This window comes from Homo sapiens, chromosome 10, assembly GCF_000001405.40.
Source record: "Homo sapiens chromosome 10, GRCh38.p14 Primary Assembly".
Lineage (NCBI taxonomy): Eukaryota > Metazoa > Chordata > Mammalia > Primates > Hominidae > Homo > Homo sapiens.
In genome coordinates this window covers 29820095-29833831 of record NC_000010.11, presented here as the reverse complement: position 1 = coordinate 29833831, position 13737 = coordinate 29820095, and the positions used below count along the sequence as shown (strand labels likewise).

General features: G+C 45.7%; 1 long non-coding RNA gene across 2 annotated transcripts; it reads right to left on the bottom strand.

Moving 5' to 3' along the window:
* Positions 1–4720: 4720 nt before the first annotated feature.
* On the bottom strand, positions 4721–12715 carry LOC105376476 (uncharacterized). 2 transcript variants are annotated; one of them, XR_930790.2, is made up of 3 exons: positions 12319–12715; positions 6463–6636; positions 4721–5389 (listed from the first exon to the last, which is right to left on the bottom strand). It is a non-coding gene; the product is annotated as an uncharacterized LOC105376476 (long non-coding RNA). The 2 variants fall into 2 exon arrangements; XR_930789.2 differs by lacking the exon at positions 12319–12715 and having other exon boundaries at positions 6463–8752.
* Positions 12716–13737: the final 1022 nt, after the last annotated feature.

Here is a 13737-nt window from a genome sequence, read left to right as displayed (position 1 = left end):
CATCTTACTTTAAAATCCATTTTAAATTAGCCATTTGAATTTAGAATTTTATGTATGTATATATACATATATATACATATATATACACATATATATACATATATATACACATATATATACATATATATACACATATATATACATATATATATATATATATATATATATACAAACACACATACACTAATGACAATTAAATTCCCTTTGTTGTTGTATTACATTCTGCCAAGATCCATCTTTTTTTCCTTTTTTGAGATGGGGATCTCACTCTGTCACCCAGGCTGGAGTGCAGTGGCACATGCCATCACGGCTCACTGCAGCCTCCCATTCCTGGGCTCAAGAGATTCTCTCGCCTCAGCCTCCCAAGTAGCTGGGACTAAAATTGCATGCCAACACATCCGGCTAAATTTTTAAAATTTTTTGTAGAAATGGGGTCTTGCTATGTTGCCCAGGTTAGTCTCAAACTCTTGGGCTCAAGTGATCCTCCCACCTCGGCCTCCCAAAGTGCTGGGGTTCCAGGTGTGAGCCACTGAACTCAGCCTATGATCTTCTTGAATCTTGATTCTTCTACCCGGGTATCAGTGATCCTTCCCAGCTTCATGTCATCTGTGCAGTGATAAGGATAGTTTCAATTTCTTGATCCAAGTTGACAATAAAATAAGGAATTTAAACAACCAACAGAGGAGCCCTCCAGGTGGACACCTTTGAGCATGGTGCTCTACAACCAGATGTGACTCTCCTGCCAATTCTCTCTCCTACTTTACGTTTCCCCGTCTTACTCTGAAAAGATGCAATAAGGGAGCTTTGCAGATTCCCAGCCAAATTCAGATGGGCTGCAAACATTTGACCTTCCCTCCTTAGCCTCTTGCTCTCTTTGGCTCTGATTTTCTCATAGCTTTGTTGCTTTTCTAACTGGGTAAGTGACCAGATACCTCTACTTCGTGGAGCTTTCTGGGGCAAGAGAGCCAATTTCCCACAGTGCTGCATCACACCATCACCCAGAGAAGACCTTTCTTGGTGTTTCTTCTTGGAATGTTGCTAAAAAGCCCATTTTGGGCCAGGCCTGGTGGCTCACACCTGTAATCCCAGCACTTTGGGAGGCCAAGGCAAGAGGATCACTTGAGTCCAGGAGTTCGAGACCAACCTAGACAACATAGCAAGACTCCATCTGTACAAAAATTAAAATTAAAAAAAATAGCCGGGCATGGTGGCATGCACTTGTAATCCCAGCTTGTAGTCCCAGTTACTCAGGAGGCTGAGGTAGGGAGGATCACTTGAGCCTGGGAAGTTGAGGCTGCAGTGAGCCATGATCATGCGGCTGCACTCTAGCCTGGGTGACAGAGCCAGACACTGTCTTTCCCCCTCCCCGCTAAAAAAAGCCCATTTGGGCTGGTGCTTTTCACAAGCCTTAGCTCATCCTGGCTTTCCCAATATTCTCCCTGCTAAGCACTGCCATTTTTTGCATCTCTTCTTGGACTGGGGTTCTCCTTCCATTTCTTCCATCTATTTAAATGTAGACTCCTTGGAGAGTTCAATATGCAGCCACATCATTTCTTCTGTTGTCTTGCTCACTTTGGGTTTATGTCAATCATTGAGAGTATTTCTGATCAATATCATTCTAGAGCTAGGCAGGAGGGGCGCAACCCTGGGCCCTGGGGAAGTGAAGGATTAGCCTTCCTGAAAGAGAAGTTTGGCCTTTGCTCTCGGCTACTGAGTGGTGATCTCCAAGCCCCTGGAATGTCCTGCCCAATAAGAGGGACTTTGTTTGCCTGGGGACTTTAGCCACTGGATAGTCTAATGATATGATTTATGATGGGGTTTTGGAGACACATCATATCAGTTCCAACTTCCAGAATTATTAGCCTGAGCCTCTTAAAAGGGGCTGCAGACTGAAGGTCACCCACATGAGCAGTATGCGATAGACCCCAAGCAAAAACTGTGGACAGCCAAGGCTCAGGTGAGCATCCTCGGTTGGCTGTACCCTGTGTACATTGTCCTGGCCAGGAGGAGGCAATGCTATCTGATATGGTGTGGAGCTGCCCAATTACAATTCATGTCAAATTGTAATTCCCAGTGTTGGAGGTGAGGCCTGGTGGGAGGTGATTGGATCATAGGGGTGGTTTCTCATAGTTTAACGCCATGCTCCTTGGTGTTATTGTGGCAATAATGAGTGAGTTCCTGTGAGATCTGGTTGTTTAAAAGTGTGTTGCACCTCCCCTCTCTCTCTTCCTCCTGCTCTGGCCATGTGAAGTGCTGGCTCCTTCTTTGCCTTCCGCCATGACTGTAAGTTTCCTGAGGCCTTCTCAGAAGCTAAGCAGAAGCCAGCATCATGCTTCCTGTACAGCCTGCAGAACTGTGAGCTAATTAAACCTCTTGCCCTTATAAATTACCCAGTCTCAGGTATTTCTTTATAGCAATGTGAGAATGGACCAATACACTGATCATAAATGCATGGGAAGAGAACCAAAGGATCTTCTTCCTTTGGATCCCAACTGGACTTTGTCCTGTGTGTCTCTTCCCTTGATTGATTTTCTTGTGTAACTTTCAACTGTTAAAACAAACACACACACACATTCTCATGCTATGTATAATGCTTTCTTGGGTTCTCTGAACCATTCTAGAGAATTATTGAACTTGAGGGTGGTCCTGGGGACCCCTAAACTTGCAACTATTGTCTGAAGTAAGGGACTATTCCATCAGACTTTGCAGTTTGCTAAACTGTACTACAACCCCTAACTCTAGGGAAATAAATGCTGACTCTTATCCAGTTTTGTGCCTCCCTCCAGGACAAGGCATCCCCAGAGCTAGAGGGACATAGCTTTCCTCTTTCTGGATCATACCCCTGAGTGTGCTGGTGACTGGAGTTTGGTTGTTTGTGCTGGGGTGTCCACGTGGATGAGAATGAGTCCTCCCACAGCACAGAAGGAATGAGAGAAGAGAGGGTGAGCTATGGAACAAAGGCCTGGAGCCAGGGTTAGCTCTCCCCACACCACCATATTCCACTGCGGAATTCCAGACAGTTGAGAATTCTAAATTTGAACTTGGACTTCAAGGTCATCATGACAGTATTTTTTTCAAAGCAGCAAGCTACAGCATATTTTGTTTAATAGGTTGTTAGCTTGATTTACAGCCTTTAAGTATCTAAACATGTGGTATGTAGGTCTCTATTCGTACTCTTGCCTCATCCCCCGAAGTGTCAGGAGCCAGCCTGTTGCTGATTGTAAAGATTCTGTTTTTAGAGGCTTCTGCTCGACGATAGTGTCTTTTAAGACAGGCTGTTAAAGGTTAACAAAGCATCACATGTACATTTTCACAGATGATCTTGAAATATATGTAACAGGATGTTAAAATGGGATTTTACTTGTCTCATTTTCTGCTGAGGTTTCAAAAGGCTAAGAATAAAGCAGTAAACTAAGTACTCCCACATTCCAAAATGAAGTGCTAGACCACTGCTCTAGGTTATCTATTGCTACATAACAGCATGCACCAAAACTTCACAGTATAAAATAGGTCTTTTATTTTCTCAAAATTATTTGGCTCAGAAATTTGTACAAGGCACAGAGGGAATGGCTCACCTCCATGACTAAATTCTGGGACCTTACCTGGAATACCACATAGCAGGGAACCTTACCTGGAATACCACATAGCTAAGGTGGCTTAACTGGGTCATATGGCTGGGGACCTGATGCTTCTGTTGGTTTCGTTCCTCAGCTTTCCTTTGTGTGCCATTTCCATGTGGCTAGCTTGGGCTTCCTCATAATATGGTGGTCTGATTCATCAGCCTTCTTACATGCCTGCTGCATTCTCTCCTGAGAGAGAGCTGAAGATGCCAGGCCTCTCAAAGGCCAGGCTAAGCACTGGCACAGTATCACTTCCTCCATGTCCAATTGGTCAAGGCAAATCACAGGACTGGCCCAAGTTCAAAGAGGAAGAGCAGGAATCGCCTCTACTTCTTGATGAATGGAGCCAATAGAGAAGGAAATCACATATAGGGAGAGAAGGAAATGATGGTGGCCACCTTTGGAGATAACATACAACTATCCACACAGACTTGCAAAGGAGGGAAGTGACAATGTTCTCCAACCCTTAGCTCTATGCCAATCAAAGTTTTAAAAGGTTTAAAGTTGGAAATGAGAAAGAGGGCTTCTTTGGAAAAAGTTGTTGGAGCACTGAGGCACTTTTCTTCCTGTGCTTCTCCTTCACCTCAAGCCTAGTAGGAGGGGCTTCAGGGAGACATCACGCTTTGATCCATCTTTCCAGTTTTGACTTTACTGTTTCTCATAATGCAGCTTTTGGCATTTTCCCTCCAGCTACATACACCATGGTTGAGGAGAACTAGCCTTTTGTCCACCCATGTTTGTAGCAGTGTTGATGTTGTCCACAACACCCTAAAGGTGGAAGCAATCCAAGTGCCTGTCAATGGGTGAATGGATAAATCAGTTATGATAGGAATCTCTCCAGCCCATGTGAAGAGTGTGAACCTTGAAAGGCCGGCTCTCTCAAGGTTCACACTCTGGCTAACAGGGCCTAAATTCAATTTAGAGCCAAGCGGCAACTTGCTGACTAGAAGTCACACATGTTTTTGAGTTCCCAGAAAACCCACATCTGCTTAACTTTGGGACTTTCATAGCTTCCTGTTCTTGTTTATGTTGCCGGAACCAACCAATAGACTATGACCTGTGTCAACAAATCAGAACTCAGCAAGCATCAACCAATCAGATTAAGCAAGTTTGAATCCTTTATTTGCATAAGTGGACCTGAGTGGGAACAGGGCAGGAACTTTCTCTATAAAAGCCCAGCCCCTCCTTTGTTGTCTGGAAAGCACCTTCATTTTACACTGAAAGCTGCATTCCCCTAGTTTGAAAACTGTTTACAGGAATAAAGTCTCTTTCCTCCAAATACCTTTTCAGAGAATTATTGTTCACAAGGGTTATCCACCAAATCAGAGGATCCCAGATCTGTGTGCTCGGAGCCTTCAATACTAACAAGGCTGAGAGCTGGGGCACTCCCCTATGCACTCCAGGTCTTATTTATGTAACATGAATTTCCTGCTGGACCTCAGTTCCCTAATTGTGTTTTTATTTCTTGTTGCACAATTAGGCCTCTGGGAAATATCAGTGTAAAAAGTTGGGTTTTTCATGAGGGTTCTGAGTCAGACAGCAGTAGGAAGTGGGGAGGTTAGGGACAAAGGAGAGAAAGGACCCGTCCTCCCCCATTTCACTTTTGGCCCAGGCCCAGCACCATCTGGATCCCTTCCCACTGGGGCTCCCCCAGGCCTTGCAGAGCACAGAATGGCATCCTTCATTAGGTTACGATACTTATCAAGTCCAACAAGGTATGGATGAGCCAGCATGGCAGTCTTGAGAACACCGCATTCTGCCCTGGCTGCCTGCAAGGAAACACAAGGCAGTCTTTGTTTTTTGTTTGTTTGTTTGTTTTGTTTTTTGTTTCATTTTTTTGAGATGGAGTCTCACTCTGTCACCCAGGCTGGAATGCAGTGGTGGTAATCTCTGCTGACTGCAACCTCTGTCTCCTGGGTTCAAGCAATTCTCCTGCCTCAGCCTCCCAAATAGCTGGGATTACAGGTGTGCACCACCACACCCAGCTAATTTTTGTATTTGTAGTAGAGATGGGGTTTCACCGTTTTTGCCAGGCTGGTCTCGAACTCCTGACCTCAGCTGATCCATCCGCCTTAGCCTCTAAAAGTGCTAGGATTATAGGTATAAGCCACTGTGCCCAGCCTCTTGAAGAGCAGTCATCTGAGAGCTGTATTTGAAACCCAGATGATAGATCCATTTGTGACAAACGCTTAGAATGACTGAATCTGGGCTTCTTCAAGACTCTCCTCCTCCCTTCACCCATAAATCTCCCAGAAAGCCATTCACTAGCCTGTCATGGTTTTAAATGTGGCCCACAGTTCCCTGTTACTGACTCCACCTTGGGAGGTGAGGTCTATACCCCTCATTTGAATCTAGGACGGCTAGGGACTGCTCCCTCCAATAACATATAGCGGAAAGTAAGTCAAGGTGATGGTAGGGATACGGTCTATAAGGCAGGCAGTGGGCACCGCCTCCCCCAAGGACTGCCCCTCTGGGCTCTTTAGCTGTCAGTTTGAGCTTGGCCCTCTGGCTGTCCCTGTTCCTGCCCGGTGCATAACCACGTGCATGAACAAGCAAGCCATCTGGAAGTGTGTCCTCCTTCCTCCACTCTCTCAGCCCCCAGCCCTTTGAGTTATCCAAGAACCATAGAGCAGGGACAAGCCACTCTTGCTTTGGCCCTTCTGAATGCCCCAGCCCCGATCAGCCAGCATCTTAAGATAGTTGTTTCACCTACGACCTTCTGGGGTGCTTTCTCACACAGCATTAGCAACTAGAACACTGTCTCTGCATCTCCCCTTCAACTAGAATTAATAGAGCACTTAGTTGGCTAAATAAATGTTTAAAATCGAGAACAAGGACTTACCCCTAGTGAAGATCCAGGTACAAGTATTCTCCTGAGAGAGAGCTGAAGATGCCAGGCCTCTAAAAGGCCGGGCTAAGCACCGGCACAGTATCACTTCCTCCATGTCCAGTTGGTCAAGGCAAATCACAAGGCTGGCCCAAGTTCAAAGAGGAAGAGCAGGAATCACCTCTACTTCTTGATGAATGGAGCCAATAGAGAAGGAAATCACATATAGGGAGAGAAGGAAATGATGGTGGCCACCTTTGGAGATAATGTACCACCTTTGGAGACAGGCCAGGTACAAAGGCAGGATCCCTTGTTTTGTTTTGGGGTTTGTTTGCATGAGAACATGTGTTTCTCCAGTCCTTACATAGCTTCCACAAAGGCAGCCTGGCCCTGGAAAATTTCCTGAGCCTGGTTTGGATGGGGGTGATGGCAGCAGATTCCCCCACCTTTTTTTTTTTTTTTTCTTTTGCTTCCTGGAGCTGCCGGGAGATGAAAGAGTCAGCAAGAGTCAGGTCTGACAGGCTTCCTGCTACTAGGACACAGATCACAGCCCATCATTTTTGTCAAAGGCTTGGGGCGGGAGAGGGGGAAGGAAAGCAACAATATGAGGAAATTTACATGGCAGCCTTGGGATTTAGCTCAGATTTCCTTTACAGGAAGGAGGGGACAATATTATTACTGATTCATTGATTTTTCCAATGGGAGAGAGTTGAAGACACACGGGCAGGAGCTGATGGTGCCTGTCAGCATTCATTCTGCAGTTGGAATTGATTCTTTATACAACATACATCTTTAAGGAGTCTCCAGAGAGTGTGTGAAGCAGCGTAAACTCAATCCATCTCGCTCGCCAGATTGGGAATTTCCTATTTGCCAATTTGTGTGATCAACTCCATAGGACAGGTTGTGTCCTGTTTGTTTTAGGGTTGAGTGAAGTGAGTTTTCAAGACCACTCAGCTAAGGCGTGGCAGCCCCAGGGTTTAGGCTTCAAGTTCTTTGATGGCAAGTAATAGACAGAGAGTCTAGCTAAGTTAACCACAAAGTCACAGGGGAATTTATTGGAAGAGTTTGAGGGGGCTCCTAGGATTTTAGAACCAGGCTTACAGAGGACAGGGACCGGGTGCTTTCTTGGGGTTTTAGGATATGGGGGCAGTCTTATCCAAGAACCACCACTCGAATGAATGAACTCTGATGGCTTTCTGTCTTTTCATCACTCTGTTTCTTGTCTTCCTCCACACAAGGAGGGATTGTGATTCAAATCCCAGAGAGGCTCCTGGGTTAGGAAGAGCTCACTTGGTCTTGCTTGTGTCAAGTGAATATCCCTTAACCAGAGAAAGGCATGGAGCCTTGAGTAAAAATCTCCTCCAAACTCATCTCATAAGGGAGGAATAATTCTATCCTCCGTCCCCCAAATTGGAATGCAACTACCAAAGAAGGAGGAGTGGATGCTGAATGACCACAAGAACAAAACCTGCCCACTCCGTCAGCACTATCCAATGCCCAGTCCAGTCTTCTCACTGCCTTAGCTCCATAGGGTACTTTGTACTCCTACAGAGCTCTGTACCTAAGATGATATTACCCTGCCCCTCCTTGAAATGTATTCCAAGAGGGAAGAATGCCTAAGGGAACAAACAGAGGGGCTTCTTCTCTGGGTTACATGTGGACTCAGCTGGAATAAACTTTCGAACCCCAGGCAGATTAGAAGTGCATCTTATTTATTACCTTCTAGGCTGCTCTTTGTAAGGCATTTTTGCCTGAGCCACAGGCTTGATAACAAATGCAGTAAAAGTGGGGAAAATGCTGATTTAATGTAACAATATGGGATGGTGATGTATTCTATGTAGTAAACAAGAGTAGCTATTGAGTTATAAATAATCATTTTATAGCAATCTTGAATATCTCTGATACCAGATGTGTAGTAAATACAATCACTTTATAGAACTTCCTTTCCTTTGAAAATATGAGGAAATGATTTATAATATAAAGTTACATGTGTGCCGTGTGCCGCTCACATGGGCTTTATTTTGTGCTTGTGGTTGGATTTGTTTAACTCTTCTTTGATCACCCCAGTAGAATAGGCCTGGTTAAGTGTTCCCTGGTTTTGTGTCCCTAAACCATGGTATAGAAAATTGGGGTCATTTTGCTACATCTAGTCAGTCCCAATGCTGGCCTATTGCTTTGGGAATCTAAGTTGCATATCCACTGAATGAAGTGTCACCCTAAAAACTAGCTTTGTGAATCTAGATTGCATACTCAGTGAATGAAGTATACGAAGCATATTGTCCAAAAAGTTCATTGTTTTTTTTTTGTTTTTTTGTTTTTTGTTTTTTTTGAGACAGAGTCTTGCCTTATCACCCTGGCTGGAGAGCAGTGGTGCCATCTCGGCTCACTGCAACTTCCACCTCCCGGGTTCAAATGGTTCTCCTGCCTCAGCCTCCCAAGTAGCTGTGATTACTGGCGTGCACCACAGCCCCCAGCTAATTTTTGTATTTTTAGTAGAGACAGGGTTTCACCATGTTGCACGGGCTGGTCTCGAACTCCTGACCTCGGGTGATCTGCCCGCCTTGGCCTCCCAAAGTGCTGGGATTACAGAAATGAGCCACTGCGCCAGGCCTCATTGTCTTTTCTTAGACCTGTGATTTTTGAAGAGCTCAAGAATTTTCCCCACCTGGGCTTTAAGTCTTTTAGAGGAAGCCTTCATAGAATTTTGAAGGCAGAATTTCTAACAGATTTTGATTCATGACACCCTCTAAGAAGGCTAAATCCTGGACATTCCCTCTAGCTCTGTGATCCTTTTTTGTTTCCTTGCTTTTCCACTCAGCATAACCACCATCCTGAAGTCTGTGTTCAGGATTCTCTTACTTTCCTTTTTATGTATTGTTATTTCATCAAAATGCCTTCCAGGAATTTTTTTTTTTTTTTTTTTTTGAGACAGGGTCACACTCTGCTGCCCAGGCTGGAGTGCGGTGGAGCAATCGATCATGGCTCACTGCAGCCTCCACCTCCTGAGTGCAAGCCATCTTCCCACCTCAGCCTCCCGACTAGCTGGGGCTGCAGGTGTGTGCCACCACACCTGGCAACTTCTAAATTTTTTGTAGAGATGGGGTCTCCCTATGTCACCCGCCGGTCTTAAACTCCTGGACTCAAGTGATCTGCCTGCCTCGGCCTCCCAAAGTGTTGTGATTACAGGCATAAACCACCTCGCCCAGCCTGAAAAATATGTTTATATTTATTGTTTTTAACCCTATAAAATTAAACTGGTTAACAGCTACATGGGTGTATTCATTATATTATTTTGGCTCCTTTTGAGTATCTTAAATATTTGATACATTTTTACCATTTGCATATTTCTAAAAAAATTGTTTCTAAAAATTCTTCTAAATATTTCTATGGTTTAAGAAAGAGAAACAGTGGTTTTGAAAGTTGATGTCCAGGAATATCTGTGGACATATGTTTTTCAAGATAGCATCACATGGTGAAAATTTGGCTCCTTGTAAAACTGGGATTTCCACTGAGATCATTTAGAAAGTCTTTATAAAGTATAACGGCCAGTGTGGGAAGAGATTCCACTATAAATGTATCAGGTTTATCATCCACCAAACAAATGGTGTGACATCAGAGAACAAAGCCACGCCAACTTTCCGAGGCCTGTGCCTCGCTTTTCTGACTTCTTGTCTTTCCCCATCTCCTCTCTCATCCATCAGCATTTTATCCCTAGCTCCGCTCAGTCTTCTCAGGAAGTCAGGCACTTCCAGGGATTAGAAAAGCACATCCCAGACATGCATCCCTATGTGGCGCCGGGAACTCAACATTCTTTTTCTCCTAGGAGAATTTGCACTTCTGAAAGAAGACCTAATTCCATTAGGGAGGTTAGTGCTCATAGCCATGATTTTCACAAAGCTGGATAAGGACTTGGGAAAGCATGTCTCATTACCCGGCTTGAGGCACTTGGGAAGTTGGGAGGACAGTTAGGTAGGTTTAAAAAAAAGTCATTGCGAAGGGCCGGGCGCAGTAGCTCACACCTGCAATCCTAGCACTGTGGGAGGCCGAGGTGGGCGGATCACTTGAGGTCAGGAGTTCGAGACCAGCCTGCCCAACATGGTGAAACTCTGTCTCTACCAAAAAATACAAAAAAAAAGTTAGCTGGGAGTGGTGGCATGCACCTGTAATCCCAGCTACTCGGGAGGCTGAGGCACGGGAATCACTTGAACCCTGGAGGTGGAGGTTGCAGTGAGCCGAAATTGGGCCATTGCACTCCAGCCTGGGTGACAGAGTGAGACCTTGTCTCAAAAAAAATGGTGAAGCCCTCCTTTCTCTTGCACATCTCCGTGGAGAATCTTTGATGCCAATAAAGAGAGAATACTTCCCAGCACCCAACACCATGGCAGGCACAGAATTAGGAGCTTTTCGGATGTTCCCATATGAAATCAACAAACTTTTGCAGTGGACTTTGCTATTTCCGTTTTACAACTACAGAGGCTGGGATTCAGAAAGGATAACTTCCTTACCCAATCTCACAGCTTGCAGGTGGCAGCATTAAAATGCCCACTTAGCTGTCCCTGTCTCCCAAACCCACGTCCCTGCCAGTATGCTGGGATATACTGCATTTCCTTTGTCTAGAGGTTGCGTGAAAAACACCTTGCTCTGCTTCCAAAATAAAGAGAGAGATGCTTATCGCTTCTGGCCAGAATAGCCTTCTTAACAGTGAGGGGCGGAGTAATCTTTGCTTTGCCCTTCAGAGAACCATTGAGTTCAGTTTTTGCCAGTTATCAAGGTTCTGCCAGCAGGTGAGTGAATGACAGGTAGCAAGTTGAAATACTTAGCGGCTCAAGCCAGTAGCTTCTGGGCCCATTAATCTATCTTGGTCTGGACCTGGAATGATGTGTCCACACTTTGTAGGACCCTTTCTTCAAGAAAGCAGCTAGAGGCCGGGCACGGTGGTTCACACCTGTAATCCCAGCACTTTGGGAGGCTGAGGTGGGTGGATCACTTGAGGTGAGGAGTTCGAGACCAGCCTGGCTAACATGGTGAAACCCTGTCTCTACTAAAAATACAAAAATCACCCAGACATGGTGGCGCATGCTTGTAGTCCCAGGTACTTGGGAGGCTGAGGCATAAGAATTGCTAGAATCAGGGAGGCGGAGGTTGCAGTGAGTTGAGATCATGCCACTGCACTCCAGCCTGGCTACAGAGCAAAAGAAAAGAGAAAGAGAAAAAGAAAGAAAGAGGGAGAGGGAGGAGAGAGAAAGAGAGAGAGAGAGAGAGAGAGAAAGCTAGAACTTGCCTATTATTCATTTAGAATACACCTCTGAACCTCCAGAAATGTTTCCCTCGTTGCAATAGTATTTTACCTCTTCATCAAATCCAACTGTACTCAACAACCTTGGATACAATTAAAATTGGATGACAACAAAGGAGTTCAGGAAATGCCACCCCAAAACATGATGCTTTGGTATGCTGAGTACTTTCAACTGAGGGCTCTTGGGGAACAGCAGATGCCGGCAGACGTTTCCCTGAGCTCCCCTTATCTGCCAAGAGACAGATCCTCCCAAAGGAACTCGAAGGTCATGAATCCCCTCTGGGAATCTTACCAACTAGAGAAGAAAAACTCAAATCATGAGAAAGGAGAATGAAGGTTGTGTTACCACCACCCTTAAGAAGCCCCAAGCCCCTATTCCTTTCAGTCGCTCAGGATGCTAAATAAAAGCTTCAATCATCTGACCCTTTTTGGAAGCTCCTAACTTTGGGGACTCCCAGGCATAATTAACTATGGTTTTTCCCTGTTCATCTGGCTTACGTCAATTGAACTCATAGCCCAGCCAGGGAACCTAGAAGGGTAGAGAAAGGCATTTTCTGCTGTTCTACAATACTTACCTCTGTTATTTTAGACAGACTGGCAGAAGTCTGTTGGATAAATTTAAGGTGCTGGAGAGGCTGTATCCTTGGAAGCTTTGTCTTGACAGCACTGTCTGTCCCAGTTAAAGAGTCAAGTTTCTGCAGCTCAAGACAGACACACTGTAGCCCAGCTCGGCCCTGCTTCAGGCTAGATGGGATGAGGACTGCAGAAGTAGGGGGTGGAGAGACAAGGAGAGCAGAGCTACTCCCTGAGCCCTTCAAGTGACAGAGTCGTCGCGCCCCTATGACTCACTGTGGCCCTGCCTCCCTGTGGGCATTGGGGGCACCACCCCAAGGAGACACTGCCCTGGGCCCTGCCCGGGAAGATTGGCCCAGCTCAGAACCCTGGCCGAGGACAGTGTGCATTCGCGCTCCATTGGAAAGCGGCAAGGAGCTTACAAGCATGACTCGGGCTTGGAATCAAGGCCTTGTTTTCCACTCCTCCCTGCCAGGGCCCCTCAATCATGATCCTGGACACCCCTGCACAGCCCGTCCCAGCCCGTCTGTGAAGAGCTGGCAGGCAGCGGCCGATTTCATGGGGCTCTAGGAGTGTGGCCAGCAGAGAGGAGGGAGAGATGGCAGCCTTCTTTGTCCCTGGAAGCCGAACTGTGCTCTAAGCTACTTCCCAAATGGAAAACACCCCCAACCAGGTGGCTTCTCAGGGCCACCCAGCCTTGCTCAGGTGCAGGGTATGAAGGGTTAACGGCCTAAAGAGGAGGCCTTCTTGCATTAATCCTGACCATCCCAGTAGAGGCTGAAACCAGGCAAAGCAAAAGGAGAAAACGGAGGATCAGTCACAACATGAAAACTCAGATATTTTATCCTTGATTTAAAAAAAAAAAAAAAAAAAAAAAAAAGACAGCAAAAACCCTCCAAAAAATCTCTCCTTGCTGGCAAAATTTTGCTTTTGCTCAGAATGTCCTCTTCTGGTCCATTCTCAAGCAAAACCTCGAAATCCTGTAATTAGGTACCAAAGAGGTAGAAAAAAGCATTAAACCCAGAAGTTACAAAAAAAAAAAAAAATAGCAAGGCTGGACGCGGTGGCTCACTCCTGTAATCCCAGCACTTTGGGAGGCCAAGGTGGGCAGATCGCTTGAGGTCAGGAGTTCGAGACCAGCCTGGCCAACATGGTGAAACCCCATCTCTACTAAAAATACAAAAATTAGCCAGGTATGGTGGCGTGTGCTTGTAATCCCAGCTACTTAGGAGACTGAGGCAGGAGAATCGCTTGAATCCAGGAAGTGGAGGTTGCAGCAAGCCGAGATCATGCAACCGCACTCTAGCCTGGGCAACAAAGTGAGACTCCATTTAAAAAAAAAAAAACGGCAGCCAAGTACTTCCCTCTGAAGCAGTGCCTTCTCACACTTTCCCATGCATAAGAATTCCTAGGGGTCAGAG